Here is a 27,143-nt window from a genome sequence, read left to right as displayed (position 1 = left end):
TCACGCTATTTTCTTGTAAATGGCAGTGAAGGAAAGAGGGGAATAGAGACACCTTATTAATCAACTCGACTGCAATTTTATAGCACTGTGCCCAGAAGGACACACTGAACTATCGGTGTCAGTCAGGAAAACACATGACTCAGACAAATTAAAGACTATAGAAATTCAACAGGTGGACAGGAGCCAAACTCCATCCAGCAGGCTCTGTGCCTTTGAGGCTGTCTGGGCAGCATTCATTCTCAAGATGTGAAACGGGCAACCCTATTGATCCACTGGCACATTTGTATGTCTTCACCCTTGTTTTAATATTTTCTTTTTCTTTCTTCTTTTTTTGGAAGCGCCAACTTCCAGGCACGAAGTTTGTTCCTCTACTTCTGCAGAACAAACCAGCACAAAATGCAGTGGTTTAAAGTAAATATTTATTTGGCTCTTACAGGTCTGTGGGTGAACTGGGCTCAGCTGGATGGTTTTCACTTGGGGTCTCGCCAAAAGTTTTTTTTTAAATCTTCAACTTTTATTTTAGGTTCAGGGGTACGTGTGCAGGATGTGCAGGTTTGTTACATAGCTAAATGTGTGCCATGGTGGTTTGCCTCACAGATCATCCCATCACATAGGTATTAAGCCCCATATGCATTAGCTATTCTTCCTGAAGCTCTCCCTCTCCCCACTCTCATGATGGGCCACAGTGTGTGCAGTTCTCCCCATGTGTCCGTGTGTTCTCATCATTCAGCTCCCACTTGTAAGTGGGAACATGCAGTGTTCGGTTTCCTGCTCCTGCGTTAGTTTGTTGAGGATAATGGCCTCCAACTCCATCCATGTCCCTACAAAGGACATGATCTCATTCCTTTTTATCGCTTTGTAGTATTCCATGGTGTATATGTACCACATTTTCTTTACCCAGTCTATTATTGATGGGCATTTGGGTTGATTCCATTTCTTTGCTATTGTGAATCTCTCAAACAGTTTTGCATTTAGATACTGATTACAGTTGGGGTCATCTGAAGGTTCAGCTCTTCTCTGATATGTCTGCTGTCTCAGTGGGGGTAGCAGAGCTACATGGGTTAGCTGGGCAACACTCTCTTTTCATGTTAACCTGGGGTAGCCAACTGCAAAGCACTTACAGTGTAAACTTTCCAAGATCTCCCAGTGGAAGCCACAAGACTTTTTTTTTTTGAGACAGAGTCTTGCTCTGTCTCCCAGGCTGGCGTGCAGTGGTGCGATCTCGGCTCACTGCAAGCTCTGCCTACCAGATTCACACCATTCTCCTGCCTCAGCCTCCCGAGTAGCTGGGACTACAGGCGCCCGCCACCACATCCGGCTAATTTTTTGAATTTTTAGTAGAGACAGGGTTCCACCATGTTAGCCAGGATGGTCTCGATCTCCTGACCTCGTGATTTGCCTGTCTCGGCCTCCCAAAGTGCTGGGATTACAGGCGTGAGCCACCGTGCCCGGCCAAGGCTTCTTATGACAGCTTCAGAAGCCATGCAGAGTCACAGGCCTGTTGAGATTTGAGGAACGGCGATTGCATGAGGGTATGAGTCCTGGGAGCTTCATTTCATTAGGAAGCCATCTTTGAACTACAGCAGAGAAACAGTAAAAGAACAAACATAACTAACTACATTTTTGTTTAAGGGACCTTTACTCATTCCTGCACGTAGCCTAGGATAATTTTAGAACACTGGGATAATAACACACACACACAGCAATCATGTAGTTTTAAAAACTAACTCTGGGATTAAGGGAGAAGTATGTCAACAACTAGCTGTTTTGTTGTAAAATTTATATGAGCATTGTGACCTGACCAAGGACAGAGAAGTTTCCAACCTCCTTGGACCCTCACTAGTGCCCAGATATCTGCGGTGGTCGGTTACCTCTTTTTAAAATTTAAATTATTTTTTTAAATGTGGAATGCTTCAGGAATTTGCATGTCATCTTTGCCCAGGGGCCTTGCTACTTTTCTCTGTACCGTTCCAATTTTAGTATATGTGCTGCCGAAGCAAGCACTGTCAGTTACATCTTGATCCTAGCCGCCCCCCTTCCCCCTGCTCTTAACATAAAAAGAGCCTAAAACTGGTTGTGACTCAAGATGGTACTTTGGGATGATAGTCCACCATCTTCTTTCTTTGCTTGCTCTCCAAATAAACCAGCTTTTCTTCCCACAAATTCTTGTCTCTTGTGTAAGGCTTTCAAGTGGTCAGCAGCTGAACCCTGGTTCGGTTACAGAGCAAGGCTGTGTTAAGTCTCTTCTCGTGTATGTGGCCTCTGTAGGGGCTGTGCATGGTCTTGCCTCTCATACCGCATGCTTTCCACACCCTGGAGTCCTATGGCTCCCACAATTTTCTCTATTCCCTCGATCCATATGTACCTGCCTGCCTTCCTGAGGCATGTTGTTCTCCCATCTCTGCCTCTTGGCCTAGATTTCTCTTACTGATCCCCAGATCTCCCCAGCACTACATCCCATCAGGGAAGTGGTTCATGGCTGCCCAGGCCAGGCCAGACTCTTCTCTTAAAAACTTCCAGAGGCCAGGTGTGATAGCTCATGCCTTAATCCCAGCACTTTGGGAGGCCGAGGCAGGAGGATTGCTTGAGATCAGGAGTTTGAGACCAGCCTGGGCAACATAATTACACCCCATCTTCACAAAAAATTTAAATATTAGGCCAGGTGCGGTGGCTCACGCCTGTAATCCCAGCACTTAGGGAGGCCGAGGCAGGTGGATAATGAGGTCAGGAGATCGAGACAATCTTGGCCAACATGGTGAAACCCCTTCTCTACTAAAATGCAAAAACTTAGCCAGGCGTAGTGGTGCGTACCTGTAATCCCAGCTACTTGGGAGGCTGAGGCAGGGGATTCGCTTGAACACGGGAGGTGGAGGTTACAGTGAGCTGAGATAGCACCACTGCATTCCAGCCTGGTGACAGAGCAAGACTCTGTCTCAAAAAAAAAAAAATTAAATATTAGCCCGGTGTGGTGGTGTGTGCCTGTAGTAGTACCAGCTACTCACGAGGCCAAGGGAGGAGGATCATTTGAGCCCAGGAGTTTGAGGCTGCAATGAGCTATGACCTTGCTACTTCACTCCAGCCTGGGTGACAGAGGGAGACCCTGTCTAAAAAAAAGAAAAAAAAAAAACTCTCAAAGAAGTGAGTTCCTTCCCTTCATGACACTGACAGCAGTTTGTACATACATCAGCTGCAAGATAATTGGACTAACCTCCTCTGGACGTCACTTCAAAAGAGCAGCAGTGACTGACTGTATTTTGTGTATCTTTTTTAAAATCAATATCATGTCTTCACACTTAATGCATAGTGGCAGCTTAGCAACCTTTCTTCAGTGAATGAATGAATGAACATCTCTTTTCAAACTGCTGTGTTCTATGTTGTGGCTTCTTTTTCAAGATAATTTGCTTGTTCTATTGGGAACAAATCTTTTTTTTTTTTTTTTTTTTTTTTGAGACAGAGTCTCACTCTGTGGCCCAGGCTGGAGTGCAATGGTGAGCTCTTGGCTCATTGCAACCTCTGTCTCCTGGGTTCAAGTGATTCTCCTGCCTCAGTCTCCTGAGTAGCTGGGATTACAGGCATGAACCAGCATGCCCAGCTAATTTTTTTTTATTTTTTTTTTGTATTTTTAATAGAGACGGGGTTTCTCCATGTTGGCCAGGCTGGTCTCGAACTCCTAACCTCAGGTGATCCGCCCCTCTTGGCCTCCCAAAGTGCTGGGATTACAGACCACAGGGAACAAATCTTCTGATGGAGAGAGATTTAGCTGAATTCAGGGGATCAGGGGATTTTTAAGAGACTGGGAAATAAGGAACAAGGCATGGGATTTTCAGAGATGTCGCCTTCTTCCTCGGATGCACAGGTTAGCTGCAGTGGATTAAACTCCTTGGGGATCCTGTGGATTGGGGATGGAGACACAGATTAGTGCATACTCGCCTGAGCCAAAAACTGAGGACAGTCTTCCCATGTGGTGGCTGCCGTAGGGGATCTGGGCTGATTTCCCTGAGCAGGCAGGAAAGAGGCAGTTGGCCCTGGCGGGTGGCAGGTGGAATATCTAAGCTGTAAAGCTGGTGTGAATCTGGTAAGAAGCAGGGCAGGTGTGTAGACGTTCAGACCATTGAAAAGGGGCCCAGGCTGCCAGCAACAATCTCAATTAGGAGATGTTCTGCAGGGAGCACAGCCGGCAACTCGAGTGTCTCATTTCTCTAGCCTTCTGAGGTCACACCTTCCTGTATTAGCCAAATCATATAAATGAAGCTTCTATCCTGCTTCTTTGCAGTGAATCTGGTATTCCCCCAACCTCCGCAGGGCATGCTAGATGGTTCTGACTGCCAAGTCCCCAACACATCGCTGGCTGTCTGCAAATGCTGTATCTTTCTTATGATTGCACACCAAATGTGAAAGGAGGTGCCTCTCCTTCAACTCCATAGCACCACCAACCCGCAAGTGACTTCACCAGAGAACTTTGGCTTGGGGGACAGAGGAAAATGATAGCACAGGGCAGAAAATGACTTCAAAATAAACAGCAGAAGTTGCTGTTCCTAAAATTTAATGGCCAACCATCACCCCAGAAATTCCCTTAAAAGCTATAGTTCTCCTTGGTTTCAGCTGAATGTTCTTTTGTGAAAGCTTCATTCTCCTTAGAGCCAACACCTGCTAATACTATCTGTAGCTGCCTCAACAACGTGTAAAAAACTCTTTGAGCCTGCCAAGTGAAATCTTCAAATGTCTTAGCACTAAATATATATAATTTTGGACAGATGTGGTGGCTCACGTTTGTAATCTCAGTGCTTTGGGAGGCCAAGTCAGGAGGATAACTTGGGGCCAGGGGTTTGAGACCAGCCTGAGCAATGTAGTGAGACCCCCCATCTCTACAAATAAATAAATAAATAAATAAATAAATAAAAATTAGCTCAGTGTGGTGGCACATGCCTGGAGTCCCAGCTACTCGGGAGGCTGAGGCAGGAAGATCACTTGAGCCCAGGAGCTGGAGGCCACAGTGAGCTATGATTGTACCACTGCACTCCAGCATGAGTCACTGAGCAAGACCCTGTCTCTTAAAAATAAATAAATAAATCTTATGCCAGAATGCCTTAACTAAGGAAAATGCATTTAACCAATGAAGATAAATTTATCCTCCCTGTTCCTGTCTCTTTCATCTAGATTTTCTTTTGTATAACCAAATGCTCCTTTAAAGGCTATTGGTTGGTGCGGTGGCTCATGCCTGTAATCCCAGCACTTTGAAAGGCCAAGGCAGGAGGAGGGCTTGAGGCCAGGAGTTTGAGACCAGTCTGGCAAACGTGGCGAGACCCCATCTCTACTAAAAATACAAAAAAATTAGCCGGGTGTGGTGGCATGCACCTGTAGTCCCAGCTACTTGGGAGGCTGAGCCAGGAGAATCACTTCAACCTGGGAAGTGGAGGTTGCAGTGAGCTGAGACTTTGCCACTGCACGCCAGCGAGGAGGACACAGCAAGACTCCATATAAAAAAAAAAAGAATCAATGGGAAAAATTATGATTGTTTCATGAACTTTAAAAGTCAGAACTTTAAAAACTTTCTTACTGTCAATTATAAATGTATAGAAAAATTTAAAAATAAAAATGAATATTTATTTAGTACACTGAAATTTTAAATGAATGAAATATAGGGAACTAAAATCTTGATTTCTTTGTGAAATATATCTCAAGGGTAGTTTCAACAGTGCTTGCCTTCTTCTGTTTTTACAACTTATGACACGGAGTGAACATTTTGGTGAACTGTCATACTGTGGTGTAAGGCTGAATCAGCTTTCAACGTTCTATTCTTTGTGCTTTCAATTTTGGGAAATATCTCTGAGAGTTCCTTTAATGCGAAGTTGTTTACCACTGGCACCACTTCTTCTGGGACACCTTCATTCTTTTTATAAATCTTCATTTATGTTGATGAGCTCGCCTTCACTAATTCTCTGATTGGGTGTCTAAGGTATCAGCTGCAGCATGAACATTTCCATGGTCAGCTGCTACTTTTATAACTCCATTTATTTTACCATCAAATTTCATTCCCAGTATTATCACCTTTTGTTTCTTTGCTACACTTTGATCTTTGCTGGCCAACTCCCTCTTCCACTTATCCATTTTTATAAAATGTCACATGGATTGAACACTGGGATTAGACAGGGAGGCAACACGCCTACACACTTTGCTGTCTGTGTGTGAACTGAATAACAGATGTGCAGTGACGGGCTTTGAAAGGAGTGACAGAATCATTCACTGATCATGTGATTTGTGGACAGACAATCTAGCACTAAAGCTTGTAGTTAACACATTTCCTGACAGTTAATATACCTCGGTAACAAGCTACAGTCTGTGTAATACTTGTTTGAAAGGAAAATAAATCCTAGGACCCCAATATCATTAAGCTAAGGGGAAAAGTCAAGCTGGGATCTGCTTAGGACAAACCTGCCTCCCATTCTATTCAAAGTAACCCCTCTTCTCACCGAGATAAATACATACCTGATTGTTTTCTTTGGAAAGACTAATCAGAAACTCAAAAGAATGCAACCATTTGTTTCTTATCTACCCATGACCTGGAAGCCCCCTCCCCACTTGGAGCTGTCCTGCCTCTCTGGACCGAACCAATGTACATCATACATATATTGATTGATGTCTCATGTCTCCCTAAAATGTTCAAAACCAAGACGTGCCCCCGACCACCTTGGCGACATGCCATCAGGACCTCCTGAGGCTGTGTCACAGATGCATCCTTAACCTAGGCAAAATAAACTTTCTAAATTGACTGAGATCTGTCTTAGATATTTTGGGTTAACACATGCCTTTGTAGACTGGAAACTAGCACCATTCATAAACTGAGAAAATCTGTCTTGATCTTTAAACAATGATTTACCATTTTCATAGGTATGTAACCTATTTTGTCATTTAGAAACTGCTTGGAAACTGCTCTATGTGCACTCTTGCTCAGCCTGTCCCATAGGTTCTGGAGGCAATATCATGAGCTTTAACATTTTTCTTTTTCTTTTTTTTTCTTTTTCTTTTTTTTTTTGAGACAGAGTCTCACTCTGTCACCCAGACTGGAGTGCAATGGCATGATCTTGGCTCCCTCCAACCTCTGCTTCCCAGATTCAGGAAATTCTCCTGCCTCAGCCTCCTAATTAGCTGGGATTATAGGTGCGCACCACCACCCCTGGATAATTTTTTTGTATTTTTCATAGAGACGGGGTTTTGCCATGTTGGCCAGGCTGATCTTGAACTCCAGACCTCAGGTGATCCACCCACCTCAGCCTCCCAAAGTGCTGGGATTACAGGCGTGAGCCACCACGCTCTGCCAACATTTTTCTAAAGGGCTTATTCATCTTTGGTTTTGATGGTGAAAGCTGAGAAAGAATTAGAGGGAATCTGCCTGGTCTTCTTTATCTTATTTCCAAATTGTCTTATCCATAAACCATCACCTATTATTGGGTATAGGGTATTAACTTTACATTCAGTCGTTCAATTGTTTATCAAAGATATACTGAGGACCTTTTTGGGGTGAACACTGTTGAGCATACAAAAGTACATTTAGGATGGGCATGGCGACTCATGTCTGTAATCCCAGCACTTTGGGAGGCTGAGGTGGGAGGATCACTTGGCCAGGTCTAGGCCAAGAGCATCCTAGACAACATAGTGAGACTCCATCTCCACAAAAAAGAAAAACTAGCATTAGCTGGGCCTGGTGGTATGTACCTGTAGTCCCAGCCACTGGGGGCGTTGTGGAGAGAGGCTCTCTTGAGCCCAGGAGGTTGGGGCCACTATAAGCTACAATCTCACCATTGCACTCCAGCCTGGGTGACAGAGTGAGACACTGTCTCAAAAAAAAAAAATTAAAAATTAAAAATTAAAATAAATAAAATTACTTTTACATGGATACCATCCACTACAATTTAATAGAAAAGTTCAAGATTGTAGCCTGGGCAACGTGGCGGCGAAACCTCGTTTCTTAAAAAAATACAAAAATTAGCCAGGCATGGTGGTGTGCTACTTGGGAGGCTGAGGAGGGAGGATTGCTTGAATCTGGGAGGTCAAGGCTGCAGTGAGTCAAGATCATGCCACTGCACTCCAGCCTGGGTGGTAAAGTGAGACCCTGTCTCAAAAAAAAAAAAAAAAAACGTAAAATTACAGTCAACCCTCATTATGTGCAGATTCTGTATTCACAAATTTACCAACGTGCTAAAATTCATTTGTAGTCCCCTAAACCAATACTTCCTGCGCTTTCATGGTCATTCGCAGATGCGTGTGAAGCAGTTAAAAACCTGAGGCATCACCTGGGTGTGGTGGCTCACTCCTGTAATTCCAGCACTTTAAGAGGACAAGGTGGGTGGATCACGAGGTCACAAGTTCGAGACCAGCCTGGCTAACATGGTGAAACCTCGTCTCTACTAAAAATACAAAAATTAACCTGGCGTGGTGGTGTGTGCCTGTAACCCCAGCTACTCAGGAGGCTGAGGCAGGAGAATCACTTGAACCCGGGAGGCGGAGGTTGCAGTGAGCTGAGATCGCACTACTGCACTCCCGCCTGGGAAATAGAGAGAGATTCCATCTCAAAAAAAAAAAAAAAAAAAAAATCTGAGGCATGTGAGGCACAATTTCCCAGCTGAGGTGCAACAAAGCAATGCTCTTTCTTCTTGTTTTAGCCTCACACAGAGATATCCAGAAGATGCAGGTGGAACAGCGAAGTGTAGGGAGAGAAGCTCTGGTTCTGGGACCTGATGGACTAGGTTTGAATTCCAAATCTAACACTTGGGAGAAGGTAGCCTCAGGCATGTCATTGAACACTTCTAAACCTCATTTTCTCCTTTGTAAAAATAAAGAAAAGAGAATCCACCAGGATTCATTGTTTGTAGGATTTAAGATTATATATATATAATTTCTCTGAGACAGAGTCTCTCTATGTCGCCTAGGCTGGAGTACAGTGGCATGGTCTTGGCTCACTGCAACTTCTGCCTTCTGGATTCAAGCAATTCTACCTGCCTCAGCCTCCTAAGTAGCTGGGATTACAGGCGCCCGCCACGACGCCCAGCTGATTTTTTAATTTTTTTGTATTTTTTAGTAGAGGTGGGGTTTTGCCATGTTGGTCAGGCTGGTCTTGAACTTCTGACCTCAGGTGATCTGCCCACCTCGGCCTCCCAAAGTGCTGGGATGTATGATATATATCTAGATATGTACATATTTCCCCTAGAAGCAATGATTCGGTATTTACTAATTCAGCATTTGCGGAAACTTTATAGACCATAAACTACTGGGAATAATGAGAGCTGACTATACATCTCAACACCTGATGTCATGTTAAGATTGTTACTTAAAAATTTCTTTTTCTGGCTATTGGGAAGTAGGTTTCTATGATAAAAAGTATCTGAGTATAACAAGGAAGGCCTAAAGCATTCTGATATATTTGCATAAATTGTAGTTTACTCACTTCAACACTACTTTAATCCAAATAGGTTTTTGGTTTCAAGTAAATGCATTTCACATTTTACTTATCTGTCTCAAAGATTATATGCATGGCCAATGTCGGGAAGGAAAATTCACAGTCCTGGGATTCTTTATTTTCTGCAAGGATAGGGTTACAGTCATACCTTGTCTATCTGCAGATTCTTTTTGTTGTTTTGTTTTAGAGGCTAATATGGTTACTCCCTTCCCCATCTTCTTCTTCTTCTTTTTTTTTTTTTTTTTTGAGATGGAGTTTTGCTCTCTCACTCAGGCTGGATTGCAGTGGTGTACTCTCAGCTCACTGCAACCTCAGCCTCCCAGGTTCAAACAATCCTTCTGCCTCAGCCTTTCATGTAGCTGGGATCACAGATGCCCACCTCCGCTCCTGGCTACGTTTTATATTTTTAGTAGAGACAGCGTTTTACCATGTTGGCCAGGGTGGTCTTGAACTCCTGACCTCAAGTGATCTGCCCATCTCAGCCTCCCAAAGTGCTGGGATTAGAGTCATGCATGGCACGCGGCAACCCCCATCTTTTTTGTTGTTAAAACTTTCAAACATACAGAAAGATTGAATGAATCATACATTAAATTCCTATACACCCACTGCTTAGACTCAGCAACTGATAACATTTTATCATATTTGCTTTACTTACGTATGTGTATGAATATACATATAGTTGATCCTAAACCACTTGTAAGTTGTAAAGTTCATGATATTTTACCCCCCCAATTTTTTCCCTACATGTGTCCTAGGAATAACAACATTCCCCTACAAATGACACTATCATGGTCACACTTGTGACACTTAGGACAATTCTCTGATAAGATCTAATCCAATCCATATTCAAATTTTCTCCCTAAATGTCTTTTGTAGTTTTGGTTTGTTTCTTGAACCAGGATCGAATCAAGAGCGATGCTTTGACTTCTGTTATTTTTGTCTCTCTGGACTCCTTTAATTCAGAACAGACTCCAACTTTTTCCCCCATGACATCAACTTTTTAAAGTTAAGAGTCTATCATTACTTAGACATTATACATCAGAGTTAAATAATAATCTGAATTTGAGTCTTAGCTGTAGCTGACAAATATGGGGTCAAATAACCATTAAAAGCCTTAGTATAGGTATCTGTACTAAAGAGGTTGGAAACAATTTAAAAAGATAATGCATATGAAATTGCTTGTAAATTATAAGAGCTACATAGTTGCAGTGCTTTTTAATACCATTATTTTAAAAGTTGTTTTGAAAGCCATGATGTTATGATTCTATTATATGATAGTTAAAACAAATTAAATATATGTATATATATATTTATTTATTTATTTTTGAGACAGAGTCTTGCTCCATCACCCAGGCTGGGAGTGCAGTGGTGCAATCTTGGTTCACTGCAACCTCCGCCTCCGGGGTTCAAGCAATTCCCCTGCCTCTGCCTCCTGAGTACCTGGGATTACAGGTACGTGCCACCATGTCTGACTAATTTTGTGTTTTTAGTGGAGATGGTGTTTCACCATGTTGGCCAGGCTGGTTTCAAACTCCTGACCTGAAGTGATCTGCCTGCCTTGGCCTCCCAAAGTCCTGGGATTACAGGCGTGAGCCACTGTGCCCAGCCAAAATAAATTAAATTTAAATTGCAATTTTAAAAACTTGGGTCAATGACCTGTTTTCAATTAAAACAATTCAACAAACTCTGTATTAAATAAAACTCACTTTGAACTTCTCTTTCTTTTCCCATGTTTAGCCAGCATGAGCACAAAGAGAAGGTATTGTTTTGCATTTCAGACCAGCACTAGGATTAAAAATGACGAATGAGATTGCTGACCAGGGGATCCAGAGAGACAACATTCCTGCTGGATGCCGTATGATGAATCCTTAGTTTTGGCCTCTGCTGAGATCCTGTGGCTGGCCTCTGGCCCCAGATTAAGCTCCTATAGGACTTTTGTTTTCACCCGAGATGAAGTGACAGAGAGGGGATTTTCCATCCTGCCAGAAACAATAAAAATACTCTGACAAAATATATAAAACAATCTTTTTTGTTTTGAGATGGGGTCTTGCTCTGCCACCCAGGCTGGAGTGCAGTGGTATGATCACAGCTCACTGCAGCCTCAACCTCCTGGGCTCAAGTGATCCTCCCACCTCAGCCTCTCAAGGAACTGGGACTACAGGTACACACCACCAGGCTAATTTGTATTATTATTATTTTTTTGTAAAGATGGGGTTGTGCCATGTTGCCCAGGCTGGTCTTGAACTCCTGGGCTCAAGCTATCCACCCACCTTGACCTCCCAAAGTGTTGAGATTACAGATGTGAGCCACTACACCTGGCCTCAAAACAATTTAAAAAAAGAAAAAGAACAGTGGTCCTGGAGAGACAAGAAAAAAATGAGGTGAGTCCTACTATAGTCTCAGCTTACTGTCTTGAGTTTCTAGGCTGTGGCCCAGGGAGGCAGAACCCAGAAAGAGCCCAACAGACTCCCTTAGTTGAAAAGAGGGAGCTGAGAGTCCAGGGAGACCACAGTGACTGGAGTTCATAAGGCAGAATACTGGAGAGGAGAGAGCTGCAAGAACTCTGAAGATTTGCAGAGATGCCCCCTCAAGCACCTAGCAAAATGCTGGTGATTACATGGATGCAAGGGAACTAAAAGGATTAGAAAACAGTTCCCAGAGCTCACATAGCATCAGGAAAAAACACCTGTTTCCACCAGCCAAACTGGAAAAACTTATAATTCATGGGACATTGGGTAGAATACTCAAGAAGGTCTTGCCTCAATATTTGGAGATAATTTGCTCTGGATTGGACAGGGCTTCAGATCTGCCTAACAAATCATAATAGCATGACCCCAAAGGATCAAACTATTCCCAAATAATTTAACTGCATCCAAGAACTCAAAATTGTTATGAAAATCCTAATAATATAGTTATTTCAAAAATGTCACAGGAATTCAAACAATCCAACATCCAATAAGGTAAAATTTACATAGTCCACCAGTATAAGATTAGCAGGTATACAAAGAAATATGACAATATAGTCTATGATGAAGAGAGCAGACAAGGACATCAAAATATATTTTATGAATATATTCCATGTATTCAAAAGGTTAAGCATAGTCATTGAACACATAAACAGTTCTAAATCAGAATTGTAGAGGTAAAAACTATAATGTCTGAGATAAAAAGCACATGGGATTAACAAAAATTAGACACGGTAGAAAAAATGACTCATAAACTTGAAGACACAACAATAGAAACGATCCAAAATGAATCACACAGACTCTGGTTTCTCTTCAGATTGTATAAATCTTTTGCCTTTTACCAAAATGAATCACAAAAAGAAAATTCAAGAAAAAAGTGATTGGCACATCAGTGAACTATGAGACAACTTCAAGCAGCCTAATATACACATGATTGGAACTCCTAGGGGAGAGAGAGGGAGGGGATAAAATTGTGATAAATAGTGACCAAATAAATTTCAAATTTGATGAAAATTATATTCCCACAGACCCAAGAAGCTTAATGAACCTTAAGCACAAGAAACTAAAAAGCCCTACACCACGATGCAGTATAATCAAATTATTCAAACTGTTGATAAAGTATCTTGAAAGCAGCTGGAGCAAAAGGATATGTTATGTATCAAGAAATAAAAATCAGAATGACATCAGATTTCTCATCTGAAACAACGCAAGAGAGAAGATAAAGGAGGAACATTTTTTAAGTACTGAAAGAAAAACTTGTTCACCTACAATTTTATACCAAATGAAAATCTTTCCAAACTAAGATGAAATAAAGGTTCTTTCAGGGATACAAAAGCTGAAGCCATTAATCACCAGCACATTCACACTCTAAGAAATATTAAAGGAAGTCCTTCAGGCAAAAGGAAAATCACACCAGATTGAAATATGGATCTTCATAAGAAATGGAGAGCATTAGAACTGGTAACTATCATATCATGTAAGAAATTTTCTTACTATTTAAATCTCCTTAAAAGATAATCAACTATTTAAACCAAAATAATACTATATTTTGGGGTTTATAACATAGATATAAGTGAAATATATGGCATCATTAGCACAAAATGATTAGCACAAAAAAGAGATAAATGAAAGTATATCATTATAAGTTTCTTACATGTGAAATGGTATGTTGTTTGAAAGTAAATTGTGAGAAATTGAAAAAATTTGAAAAAATGGAAAAAACCATCAAAATAAAGAGCACAGAGTTATAGCTTATAAGCAAATAAAGAAGATAAAAGATGACAAATGACACAACAGAGGGACAAGTAGAAAACAAATGGGAGGTGATAGACTTAAATGTAACCACACACATTAAACACAAATCTTGGTAAATGTTACATGGGCCCTTGATTAAAAAATGCAGATTCTGCTGATGTTGGGTAGGGTGTTGTATATATTTCGACTAGATCTTGTTTGTTGACCCTGTTACTCAATTCTTCTGTATTCATACTGGTTTTCTGTTTAGTAGTTCCGTCAATGGCTGAGAATAGAGTGTTGAAGTCTCCAGTTGTGGATTGGCCTGTTTCTCTGTTCAGCTCTATCAGTTTTGATTGATATATTTTGAGGCTCTGTTGTTTGGCATGTGTGCGTTTAGGAGTGTTATGTCTTCTTGGAAAACTGACCCTTTTATCATTATGTAATTATGTACATGTCTCTAATGTCTCTCAATGAATGATGGACCTTGGCATCTCATGGCTGGGCTTCTTAGTTACTTTTTAATGATCCTCACTCCCACACCTTGACTTTGTGATATGGTTTGGCTCTGTCCTTATCCAAATCTTATATTGAACTGTAATCCCCAGTGTTGGAGGAGGGGCCTGGTGGGAGGTGATTGGATCACCGGGGCAGATTTCCCTCTTGCTGTTTTCATAATAGTGAGTTCTCACAAGATCTAGTTGTTTAAAAGTATGCAGCACTTTCCCCTTTGCTCTCTCTCCTGATCTGACATGTGAAGATGTGCTTGCTTCCACTTTGTCTTCTGCCATGATTGTAAGTTTCCCGAGGCCTCCCAGCCATGCTTCCTATACAGCCTGCAGAACGATGAGCCAATTAAACCTATTTTCTTCATAAATTACCCAGTCTCAGGTAGTTCTTCATAGCAATATGAGAATGGACTAATACAATGGTCTTTTTACGACTCCTGCTTTAGATTTGTTGTGGTATCTAAATCTGAAGATTTACATCTTCCACTGTTTTTTAAAAATTCTCAGCGATTACTTCTCTTAATATTTTCTCTTCTGTGTTCTGTACACTTTCTTCTCTTGGAACTTTGATTAGGTGTATATTAGACCAAATTTCCTTTCCTCATCTCTTTGTGCTACATTCTCGGTAATCTCTTCCAGTAATTCTCTTTCTGTTCTCATGATAGTGACTGAGCTCTTACGAGATCTGGTTGTTTAAAAGTGTGTAGCACATCCCCCTTCTCTCTCTTCCTCCTGCTCCTGCCATGTAAGATGTGCTTGCTTCCCCTTCACCTTCCACCATGATTGTACATTTCCTGAGTCTTCCCAGCCATGCATCCTATACAGCCTGTGGAACTGTGAGTCAATGAAACCTCTTTTCTTCGTAAATTACCCAGTCTTGGGTAGCAATCTAAGAAAGGACTAATACACTTTGTTTTTCAGATTACAAACTAAGATAAGTGAGAAGGCACAAACCCTGCAGACGTGGGGCATCTCTCCTGGTTTAGCTCCCAAGTTTGGCAAGGCCCAAGACCAGGATGTATCTATCAAATTTGTCTTTATCCAATGATATGGTTTGGCTGTGTCCCCACCAAATCTTATCTTGACTCGTAATCCCCATAATCCCCATGTGTTGAGGGAGGGACCTATGCGAGGTGATTGGATGATGGGGGAGGTTTCCTGCATGCTGTTCTCGTGATAGTGAGTTCATTCTCATAAGATCTGATGGTTTTATAAGTGTTTGACAGTTCCTCCTTCACAGGCTGTCTCTTGCGAGCTGCCATGTAAGACGTGCCTGCTTCCCCTTCCACCATGATGATAAGTTCCCTGAGGCCTCCCCAGCCATAGGGAACTGTGAGTCAATTAAATATCTTTCCTTTATAAATTACCAAGTCTCAGGTATTTCTTCATAGCAGTGTGAAAAAGGATGAATACACCCAATGTCTAGGTATGGCCTGAGTGTAGGAAAGAAGATCCATGGAGTATGTGAATCACTTGGTCTTGAATGGCTCCTGGATATGTCACTTGAAGACAAAGATAACAGAGGAAATTCTGTTTAGTAAAATAATCTCTGATCTGGTTTTCCAGTGCTCTAAGGTTTACCATTGTTTATTTATGAAATTCTATACATAACTGAACCTTCTGAAGCCTCAGCGTGTGTTAAATGAGGGAGCCCAGGAGATGATTTTGAAGATCTTTTCCCTCTAAACCTCCTTGAATCCCAAGGATTATGAGTGGGGAGAAAGAAAAATAATAGGAAAAACCTGTTTCCTGAAGAGGTGCACCTCGCTCCCAAACATGTTGAATTCTGCCAAAACCAAAACAGATTTTATCAGCTTCTTCTCCACCTTGATTTTCAGAGCTGTGTATATTTTTAGAGACATTATCCACATGTTTTTGATTATTTTACACTTAACTTGACAAAATATTGTTTTCTCAGAGCTTTTTGATGTGATGGAAGCCTTTTCCGCCTTCTTTATAAGCTCTTTCTTTTTTAGCACAGAGTGTCTGTTGTATTTGCTTCAATGGACTCCTCAGATCCCTCGCTTGTGGGGAGAAAAGTCCTTGAATTTATTTAAACTCTCAAACCTGTAAGTTTGGATTGGATCCATCTGCTCTTGTCTTTCTAGTCTTTCCTCACAAGGCTGTTTTGATCCTTTTCCTATCAGAATGAGGCTCCCCAGCTCCTGAGCCAACCTTATCTGGGACAGGATGCGTAAGTCAGGCCTTAGCCAGCTGGAGATGACTGTGCTGCCATCGACCTGCTATCTGGGTCGAGAACCATCTTCCTCTGTATCCTGTCCCCATACTGGGCTGCTGCCTCGGTTCTCCTGCCAAGTATTTCTGCCACTTGCTGGGATTAAGTCCTCCCCCATTGCAGAGGTACAGCCTGATCGCTCCTGTTCTAAGCCTGCAAGTGCCTGGGTGCTGCTCTCCATCTCTCACTAATGACCAGTTTCCTGTGTATGTGGACTGATAGCCCAGCCGAGAAAGTGCCACGTGAAATCAGACCTGGGTTCTCAACATCGCAGTTCTTCTTCCTCTTTTATTTCAAGTGGGGAGTCTCACTCTGTCCTCCAGGCTGGAGTGCAGTGGTGCGATCACAGCTCACTGTAGCCTCGAACTCCTGGGCTCAAGCAATCCTCCTGCTTCAGCTTCCCAAGTAGCTGGTACTACAGGTGTACATCACTTTGCCTCACTAATTTTTAGTAGAGATAGGATCTCCCTTTGTTCTTCGGGCTGGCCTCGAACTCCTGGCCTCAAGAGATCTTCCTGCCACAGCCTCCCAAAGTGCTGGGATTATAGGTATGACCCACCAAGTTTGGCCTAACATCACAGTTCGTAGATTCCCTTGTATGGCTATATCTCCAGGAGGTTCACCTGCCCCCAAAAATGCCAGGGAAGGGGTGGTTCTAGTTTTCCCTACATTATTGACCTCCAGCCACTGGAGAAGTCAGTTCATTCTCTTCTAATTCATTGTCTCCATGTTTCTGGAACATTAAATTGTTGACTGCTTTGCCAGGCAAAGTTTCTCCTCCTTAGATACGCCTCTAAGGAGGCGACCATGGTGAGATAAACCTACTGTCCCTGACGTGGTCTGGCTCTGTGTCATCTCAAATTGTAATCCCCATGTGTTGAGGGAGGGACCTGGTGGGACGTAATTGGATCATGCGGATGGATTTCCCCTATGCCGTTCTCGTTATAGTGTGTGAGTTATCATGAGAGCTAATGGTTTAAAAGTGTTTGACAGTTCCCTTGTCCCCGTCTTGCTCTTGTAGCCGTGTAAGACGTGTCGTGCTTTCCCCTTTGCCTTCCACCATGATTTTAAGTTTCCTGAGGCCTCCCCAGCCATGCAGAACTGTGAGTCAATTAAACCTCCTTTCATTAGAAATTACCCAGTCGCAGGTAGCATCTTTAATAGCAGTGTGAAAATGGACTAATACAGTCCCCTCCCCTCAAGTGATTAAAAGTCCCTGAGCTAGATGCAGATTAGGCTAGAGAGATAGACAAAGGCTTCTATCAGAGCAGGAGCTCTTACACTTTGGCGTGGATCAGAATCATCTGAAAAGCTTGCCAAAACTCGGTTTGCTAGGCCCCACCCCAGACTGTCTGACTCAGTAAGTCTAGGATGGCACCTGGGGATTTGCATTTCTGACAAGCTCCCAGGTGCTACCGATGCTTCTGCAATGCAGATGACACTTTGAGAACTGTGGCTGTATGCAAGGAAGGTAAGCAATGAATAGGAATAAGAGAAACACTTTGGCAGGAGATCCTGATCTCTGAGCCTGTCCTTATGGGATCTTGGAGCACTGCCATGTGCAGTCATGGGGCCTTAAATGATTGCTACCAACCTGGTCATGCTTTTAGCAGCAGAGAAAGCAGTGAAAGATTATATAATCCACAGTGTTACCAACTTGCACTCTAAGCCTCTCTAAGGCTCCCTCTGTCTCCTAAGGCAGCTCTCCCCAGAGTCTCCTCTGCCAATGACTATGTGCTGGTGAGACATGAAGAGATTGGTGTACTTGGGGAAATTTATAAAAGGAAGGGCAAGAACAGTGGCTTTGGGAGGCCCAGCACTTTGGGAGGCCAAGGTGGAAGAATCACTTGAGCACAGGAGTTCAAGGCCAGCCTGGGCAATATAGTGATACCCCCGTCTCTACAAAAAATTAAAAAAATTAACTGGGCATGGTGGCACGTGCCTGTAGTCCCAGCTGCTCAGGAGGCTGAGGAAGGAGGATGACAAGAGCCCAGGAGTTTGAGGCTGCAGTGAGCTATGATTGCATTGTTGCAGTCCAGCCTGGGCAACAGAGGGAGAGCCTGTGTCTAAAATGATGAATAAATAAGTAAAAATAAAAAAATTAAAGAGTTGACTGAATGACAAAGTTTGGTCTCCCCTTTCTTCCTTCTCCTTTTTTAGAGGTGGGGTCTCCCTTTGTCACTCAGGCTGGAGTGCAGTGGCGCAATCATAGCTCACTGCAGCCTCGTCCTCCTGGGCTCCAGCGATCCTCCCACCTCAGACTTCCAGGTAGCTGGGACTTCAGGCCTGCACCACCGTGCCCAGCTCCCCTTTCTTTTTGAACTTCACATTCCCATTGTACTTTCAAGTGGGACCCTGGCAGTCTCCCTGCCTCTGCATGCCCGGGGAAACCATCTGAACTGGTGTCATAGCCAGAGGAGCCCTGCTGCTCTGAGCAGGCAGATGTGGCCTCGCTAACATTTAGACAGGAGCATCTTGCACCTGGGTAGAAGACTGGCCATGCTAATAAAGAATTGCAATTTACATGAGAATGACAAGGCGAAACGTGAAGAGACTGATAGGGTTTGCCCACAGCCAAATCCTTTCTGCCTGAGTACATTCGATTTGAATTCTTCTAGAAACACCAGCTCCACCGCGCTGGGGCAATATTGAAAAGGTCAGCGAAGGCAATGTCAGACATGGTCTGCGGTTGCTCTACAAGGGCTCTGGTGGCGATGCATAACAATATATTACAGTTGCCACCTGCAGCCCTGGCTCTCCAAAAATCTGTTGCTACCAGCCTTCTCTATTTAACTGGTAGCGACAGATTTTTTTTTTTTTTGGTGGTTGTTCTTTTTCTTTCCCTCCATTTTTCTGCTCCTCTTCAATATCTGTATACAGCCAGCTAATAAGTTTTTTCCAAGACACAGTGAGGATAAATGTTTTGATCTGGCTTCCACACGCAGCCCTCCTTAGAGTGTTTGCACATGAAATATAAATTGAAGCACCTCCAGGGGCTTAGATGCCTGCACGCAGCGTTTACCTAGGAGAGATTTTGGCATAACAGAAACCCTGTGATCTTCTGCCCTGCTTTGCCTCAGGCATAGATGTGTTGAGGGTTTGTTTTTCAAGCTTAAAAAAATATGTATCTGTCATTCTTATGGAAGTAAACAGTGGGTTTGTAGTCAAGAGACTGTGGTATCACAGGCTGGGCTTTCTGGAAGCAGCTTTGAGACAAAGGTTGGGGTGCAGGATGTTTATGGGGAAAGGAAGCAAGAAGGAAACAGGACTGAACTGAGAAAGATGGGGAACTGGAGCAGAACCCACAAATCTTCAGCCAATGAAGCAGGAGCTTGGATCAGTATTGGCCTCTGGAGTGTCCCAAGACGAGCAAAAACATCCCAGCCTTTCTATTCCCACCACATTCAGGGTCAGGATGTGACTTAGATGTAGGTTATTGCTATAGACAACAAAAGCCAAACTCTGTCAAACATTTGAAGAGGTTTATTCTGAGCCAAATAAGAGTGACCATGGCCCATGACACAGCCTCAGGAGGTCTTCAGAACATGTGCCCAAGGTGGTGGGGTTACAGCTTGGTTTTATGCATTTTAGGGAGACAGAAGTTACAGGTAAAGACATAAACCAATTTGTCAAAATATGTCAGAGGTGTTTAAACCAGAACGACTCCATCTTGAATAGGGGCTGGGTGAAATAAGGCTGAGACCTACCGGGCTGCATTCCCAGGAAGTTAGGAATTCTTCCTCCTGCATCTCCCAGGAGGAGATAGGAGGTTGGCACAAGATACAGGTCACGAAGACATTGCTGATAAAACAGTAAAGAAGCTGGCCAACGGGTGTGGTGGCTCACACCTGCAATCCCAACACTTTGGGAGGCCGAGGTGGGCAGATCACCTGAGGTCGGGAGTTCGAGACCAGCCTGATCAACATGGAGAAACCCCGTCTCTACTAAAAACACAAAATTTGCTGGGTGTAGTGGTACATGCCTGTAATCCCAGCTACTCAGGAGGCTGAGGCAGAATTGCTTGAACCCAGGAGGTGGAGGTTGTGGTGAGCCGCAATGGCGCCATCGCACTCCACCCTGGGCAACAAGAGTGAAACTCCATCTCAAAAAAAAAAAAAAAAAAAAGAGAAGCCGGCCAAAACCAAAATGGCCACAAAAGTGATCTCTGGTCATCCTCACTGCTCATTGTATGTTAATTAGAATGCGTTAGCATGCTAAGAGACACTCATACCAGCACCAAGACAGTTTACAAATGCTATGGTAACACCTGGAAGTTACCCTATAATGTCTAAAAAGGGGAAGAACCCTCAGTTCCAGGAATTGCCCACCCCTTTCCTGGAAAACTCATGAATAATCTACCCCTTGTTTAGCATACAATCAAGAAGTAAGTGTAAGTATACTCAGTAGGGCGGCCCATGCCGCTGCTCTGCCTACAGAGTAGCCATTCTTTTATTCCTTTACTTTCTTAAAAAACTTGCTTTCATTTTACTCTATGGACTTGCCCCGAATTCTTTCCTGTGCAAGGTCTAAGAACCTTCTCTTGGGGTCTGGATTGGGACACCTTTCGGGTAACATCTTCTTAGAAAGTATATATTGGTTCAGCCCTGAAACACAGGCCATCTTGAAGCTGGAGCTGACGTGTCACTAGGTAAATTTAAAGATTTTCTGGTTGACAGTTGGTTGAAGAAGTTAGCTTTGCCTAAAGAGTTGAAGTCAGCAGAAAAATAGATGCTTGAGTTAAGATAGGGAAGTTGGGTTTTACATAGAAGAAGCCTCTAGGTAACAGGCTTCAGAGAGAATGGATGGTAAATGCCTCTTTTAGGATCTTAAAAGGTGTCAGACTCTTAGTTAATTCTCTCCTGGGTCAGGAAAAGGCCTGGAAAGGGAAGGAGATTCTCTACAGAACGCAAATTTCTCCCACAAGAGACGGCTTTGCAGGGTCATTTCAAAATATGACAAAGACATATATTTTGGGGTAAAATACTGTGATTTCCTTCAGAGCCTGCTCTCTGTCATGTGATGCTATACCAGAATCAGGTTGGAAATTGGTATATTACTGTTACTGGAAAGGGGTTTTGATCCAGACCCCAAGAGAGGGCTCCTGGATTTTGCACAAGAAAGAATTTGGGGTGAGTCCATAGAGTAAAGTGAAAGCAAGTTTATTAGGAAAGTAAAGGAGTAAAGAATGGCTGTTCCATAGGCAGAGTAGGGGTGTAGGCTGCTGGACGAAGGTTACTTATAGTTATGTCTTGATTATATGCTAAACAAGAAGTGGGTTATTCATGAGTTTTCCAGGAAAGGAGTGAGCAATTTTTCTGGAACTGAGGGTTTCTGCCTGCTTTACACCATGTAGGGTAACTTCCAGGTGTTGCTATGGCATTTGTAAACTGTCATGGCACTGGTGGGAGTGTCTCTTAGCATGCTAATGCATTATAATTAGAGTGTAATGAGCAGTGAGGACAACCAGAGGTCACTTTCATCACCATCTTGGTGGGTCTTGGCCGGCTTCTTTTCTGCATCCTGTTTTATCAGCAAGGTCTTTGTGACCTGTGTCTTATGCCAACCTCCTGTCTTATCCTGTGACTAAGAATTCCTCACCTCCTGGGAATGCAGTCTAGCAGGTCTCAGCCTTATTTTACCCAGCCCCTGTTCAAGATGGAGTCACTCTGCTCACTCAGGTTCAAACGCCTCTGACGTTATTACTACAAAATGTCTGTTTTGTGGTCTTATGATCTCTATTTTAATGTTAATGCTGGTTAGTTGTGCCTGAACTCCAAAGGGAAGGGGTATATTGGGACATGTCCCCCTCTTTCTGCCATGACCTGAACTAGTTTTTTAGTTTTAGTTTTTTCAGATCCCCTTGTTTAAGAAAGGGGTTCACTCAGTTGGTTGGGGCCTAGGAATTTTATTTTTGGTTTACACCTTTGTGGTGTGACCATAAGTGAGTGGCTCTCTGCAGCTGACCTGAAGTACAGGCTCGTTATATAGGTAAATTGCGTGTCACGGGGGTTTGGTGTACAGATTATTTTGTCACTCAGGTCATAAGCACAGGCAGTTTTTCACCAAAAGCAACTGCAGCCAAAACGAAAATCGACAAATGTAACCTAATTAAACTAAAGTGCTTCTGCACAGCAAAAGAAACTATCAACAGAGTAAACAGGCAACCTACAGAATAGGAGGAAATATTTGCAAACTATGCATCCGACCAAAGACTAATACCCATAATCTATAAGAAACCTAAACATATTAACAAGAAAAAACAAACAACCCCATTAAAAAGTGGGCAAAGTCGATGAATAGACCCATATTGAAAGAAGACATACATGTGGCCAACAAACATGGAAAAATGCTCAACATCACGAATCATTAGAGAAATGCAAATCAAAACCACAATGAGACACCATCTCACACCAGTGAAGACGGCTATTATTAAAAAGTCAAAATATAAAAGATGCTGGTGAGGTTGCTTAGACAAGGGAATGCTTACACACTGCTGGTGGGAGTGTAAATTCGTTCAGCTGTTGTGGAAAGCAGTTTGGTGATTTCTCAAAGAACTTAAAACAAAACTCCTATTTGACTCAGGAGCATCTTTTGTTATTCATAATAAGCTCCTTTCATCCACACTTGAGTTTATGCTGATGAGGTAACTCCTGGAGGATGGGGGCTGGTTGCCAGAGGAACCAACGATGGGGTTAGAGGGCTGGAAGTTTCAGCCCCATCCCCTGACCTCCAGGGAGAGGTGAGGGGCTGGAGATTGAATCACTAATGGCAAGTGACTTAATCAGTCGTTCCTACATAATGGAACCTCCATAAAACTGTAAAGGATGGGACTTAGAGAGCTTTTGAGTTGGAGGACACATTGAGATGCTGGGAGGGTGGTGTGCCCAGAGAGGGTTTCAGAGCTCTGCACTCTTTTCCCATACTCTGCCCTATATCTCTTTATATGGCTATTACATTTATTTATAATGTTTTATAAATTTTATATTTTTTATAATATTATATATTTTATATTTTTATATTATTTTATAATATTATTATTTTTTTGAGACTTGCTTTGTCACCCAGGCTTGAGTACAGTGGCGTGATCATAGCTCACTGCAGCCTCGACTTTGAGGCTCAAGCAATCCTACTGTCTGGGCTTCTGGAGTAGCTGGGACAACAAGTACATGCACAACCATGTGCTCAAATTTTTTATCTTTTGGTAGAGACAGGGTCTTGCTACGTTGCCTAGGTTGGTCTCAAACTCCTGGACTCAAGTGATCCTCCCATCCAGGCCTCCGGAGTAGCTAGGACTACAAGTGCATGCCACCAAGCGCTCTAATTTTTTATCTTTTGTTAGAGACAGGGTCTTGCTATGTTGCCTAGGCTGGTCTCAAACTCCTGGACTCAAGTGATCCTCCCACCTAGACCTCTGGAGTAGCTGGGATTACAGGAGCATGTCACCATGCTTGGCTAATTTTTTACTTTTTTTTTTTTTTTTTTGTAGGGACAGGGTCTTGCTATGTTGTCTAGGCTGGTCTCAAACTCCTGGACTCAAGTGATCCTCCTGCTTAGGCCTCTCGAGTAGCTGGGACTACAGATAAGTGCCACCATGCCCAGCTAGAATACAGATAATTATGAATAACATGGCGATTGATGCCATAGTAGAGGAAGGCTGGGGTGAAACGAAGCACACAGAAATTGCATGGGGTTTGATCTGTGGTGTGATGAAGATTTCTTAGAGGCTACCTGGCCTGAGTGACTCTTGAAGTTCTACCACCTCAAAAAGAAGGCGGAGAAGAGGAGAGGAGTCAGAGAAACATATTTCACATTAAAAAAAAACAAAAACGAAAATAAAACAAAACTAACAAACCATGAGCTAAGGCATGGAAACCTACGGCTGCAATGTGTGTGGACAACCGCTCTTGGGTTTTGTGGAAATCTCACGTGTGAAGCAAGCACTGAGGAACCATGGGCCTGGACAGAGACAGGTGTGAGTGTCATGGTGGGTCTCATAGCTCCATGCATTTGCACTTGATCCTAAATCAGGAAAAGGAACCATTGAAAGAAACTGAAAGGAAAAGGGAAATCTCAGGGGGAAGGGCAAACAGGGGTCTTCTAATATCTGGAGGGTCGTTCTAGGAGGAAGAATAGCTGCAGGCAGCTCCGGGATGCAGAGCCGGCGCCAGTGGGCTAATGAACAAGCAAGTCCTTTAAAATTAGTTATTTATTTTGAGATAGGATCTCACTCTGTTGCCCAGGCTGGAGTGTAGTGGTGGGATCATAACTCACTGCAGTCTCGAACTCCTGGGCTCAAGTGATCTTCCTGCCTTAGCCTCCTGAGTAGCTGAGACCACAGGCACAACCTGCTAATCTTTTATGTTTTGTAGATACAGGGTCTGGCTATGTTGCCCAGGCTGGTCTCAGACTCCTGGGCTCAAGCAATCCTCCTACCTTGACCTCATTTTTCTTTTTTTTGAGACAGGGTCTTGTTCTCTTGCCCAAGCTGGGGTGCAGTGGTGCTATCTCTGTTCATCGCAACCTCCGCCTCCTGGGTTCAAGTGATCCACCCACCTAAGCCTCCTGAGTAGCTGGGACTATAGGTACGCACTACCTTGCCCATCTAATTTTTGTATTTCTTGTAGGGATAGTTTCGCCGTGTTACCCAGGCTGGTCTTGAACTCCTTGGCTCAAACGATCTGACTTCCTCAGCCTCCCGAGGTGCAGGGACTACAGGCATGAGCCACCATGCTCAGCCCCTTGGCCTCCTTTTTAATAATAAAATCTGCCTGAGTGCTGGCTGCCTGCTTGGACATGAAAACCACAGCCCTAGAGGTTTTGAAGCGTTGGTGTCACATGGAAACTTAGGATATAGCATTTCACCAAGTGAATTCTGCAGATTTCCAGCATCAGGATCATCTGGGAGCTTGTTAATAATGAAGATTCTTGGGCCCAGCCTTAGATCTACTGAATCAGAATATTTTGGGGAAAGATTCAGGCATATGTATTTCAACACGTTTCTCATGAATTTTGAGAGTTATGCCCATAGTGGACACTGCCTTGAATAGAGAGTTGGACTAGATGACTTCTCTAAGGTTTTTTCCAAACTTTTGGCTCTTACTGTCTATAAAAGAGAATCTGAGGAGCTATGGCCAGACACTTTTTGGGGGGTGGCAGGCTTGCAGAATGGGGTCTTGCTCTGTCTGGAACCAGACCCAGGCTGGAGTTCAGTGGCACAGTCATAGCTCACTGCAGTCTCAAACTCCTGGGCTCAAGTGATCCTCCCACCTCAGTTTTCTGAGTTGCTGGGACTACAGGCATACAGCACCCCACCTGGCTAATTTTTATATTTTTTTGTAGAGACAGGGTCTTGCTCTGTTGCCCAGGCTGGTCTCTAACTCCTGGGCTCAAGCGACTCTCCTGCCTCAGCCTTCCAAGTTGTTGGGACTACAGGCGTGCACCACCACGCCTGGCTAAGTTTTAGATTTTTTTGTAGAGACAGGGTCTTGCTCCGTTGCCCAGGCTGGACTCTAACTCCTGGCCTCAAGTGATCCTCCTCTCTTGGCTGCCCAAAGCACTGGGATACAGGCCTGAGTCACTGTGCCTGGCCCCCAAGACATTTTAAAGGAAGAAGGAAGCTATCTTGAATGGAAGATGTGAATAGGGTCTATAGGTGTCTTTCTTGATCATCCTTGTATTATAAGGCCTGTATTTTTTTTTTTCTGTCACAAAGGCTTTCCAGTTCTTCTCTTCTCTTCCCTACCTGGATTTTCCAGGTGGTCAGTGCCCAAAAGAAAAATGACTCTGTGCATTAGCTCAGTTGCTAAAGCTCTACTCCTTCACAATAGTGTCCTGAATTCAATCCCCAGCTTACGGAATGAATCCTTTCTGGTTTATTGGCCAGGTGTGGTGGCTCACACCTGTAATCCCAGCAGTTTGGGAGGCTGCGGTGGGTGGATCACCTTAGGTCAGGAGTTCAAGACCAGCCTGGCCAACATGGAGAATCCCTCTCTCTACTAAACACACACACACACACCCACACACACACATTAGCCTGGTGTGGTGGTACACGCCTGTAATCCCAGCTACTCGGGAGTCTGAGGCAGGAGAATCACTTGAACCCAGGAGGTGGAGGTTGCAGTGAGCCTAGGTAGCACCATTGCACTCCAGCCTGGGCAACAGAGTGAGACTCTGTCTTAAAAAAAAAAAAGAAAAGAAAAATAACAGTTTTTTGGTCCCTTCTTAGTTCCCGTAAGTGACATGGATCCATCTTTCTGAAATGCCCTGGGTATGGAGTCAGGCTAATTTGGCAGAGTGTAATTCAGAGCTTAGAATAGGAGGAAAAGAGGTGCTTTAAACACGATGCCATTCAGCCAAAGCTGGCCAGTGGAGCGAATTCAGTGTTACAGCATGAGTAGGCACAGGATTCCAGAAATAACCATGCAGACCATGCCTATAATCTCAACACTTTGGGAGGTTGAGGCAGGAGGATCCCTTGAGCCCAGGACTTCCAGGCCAGTCTGGACAACATAGCAAGACCTCATATTTACAGAAAAAAAAAAAGGCAGGAGTGGTGGTACAGGCCTTTAGTCCCAGCTACTACTAGGGAGTTTGAGGCAGAAGGATGGTTTGAGCCCAGAAGTTCAAGGCTGCAGTGAGCTATGATTGTGCCATTGCAGTCCAGCGTGGGTGACACGTCGACATCCTGTTTCTAAAAGACAAAAACCAAAACAAAAGAAAAGAAGAAATAACCACACACAGTCCTT

The 27,143-nt window shown here is 43.4% G+C and overlaps 1 long non-coding RNA gene and 1 pseudogene across 1 annotated transcript in view, besides 3 other annotated features; one reads left to right on the top strand and one right to left on the bottom strand.

Annotated features, from left to right (window-relative positions):
- The window catches only part of LOC105375343 (uncharacterized), a 34,334-nt gene extending 22,930 nt beyond the window's left edge, over window positions 1–11,404 (top strand). The window contains exon 3 of the long non-coding RNA XR_927647.1: window positions 11,192–11,404. This is a non-coding gene — a long non-coding RNA (uncharacterized LOC105375343). The remainder of the gene's footprint in view (window positions 1–11,191) is intronic.
- On the bottom strand, window positions 1,900–2,004 carry RNU6-832P (RNA, U6 small nuclear 832, pseudogene; annotated as a pseudogene).
- Window positions 21,399–22,598: an enhancer, noted in NCBI's record as "CDK7 strongly-dependent group 2 enhancer chr7:68569663-68570862 (GRCh37/hg19 assembly coordinates)". NCBI's record gives its function as "activates an origin of replication core promoter dependent on BRD2, BRD4, P300/CBP, MED14 and CDK7 cofactors, with strong dependence on CDK7, by STARR-seq in HCT116 cells {active_cell/tissue: HCT116}" and the evidence as "EXISTENCE:reporter gene assay evidence [ECO:0000049][PMID:35650434]".
- Window positions 21,830–22,578: an enhancer, noted in NCBI's record as "H3K27ac-H3K4me1 hESC enhancer chr7:68569683-68570431 (GRCh37/hg19 assembly coordinates)". NCBI's record gives its function as "activates a minimal SCP1, AML or CMV promoter by ChIP-STARR-seq in primed H9 embryonic stem cells {active_cell/tissue: H9 hESC(primed)}" and the evidence as "EXISTENCE:reporter gene assay evidence [ECO:0000049][PMID:30033119]".
- Window positions 22,579–23,328: an enhancer, noted in NCBI's record as "OCT4-NANOG-H3K27ac-H3K4me1 hESC enhancer chr7:68568933-68569682 (GRCh37/hg19 assembly coordinates)". NCBI's record gives its function as "activates a minimal SCP1, AML or CMV promoter by ChIP-STARR-seq in naive H9 embryonic stem cells {active_cell/tissue: H9 hESC(naive)}" and the evidence as "EXISTENCE:reporter gene assay evidence [ECO:0000049][PMID:30033119]".

Source organism: Homo sapiens, chromosome 7, assembly GCF_000001405.40.
Source record: "Homo sapiens chromosome 7, GRCh38.p14 Primary Assembly".
NCBI lineage: Eukaryota > Metazoa > Chordata > Mammalia > Primates > Hominidae > Homo > Homo sapiens.
The sequence above is the reverse complement of the archived record's forward strand: the minus strand, read 5'-3'. Positions and strand labels throughout refer to the sequence as shown.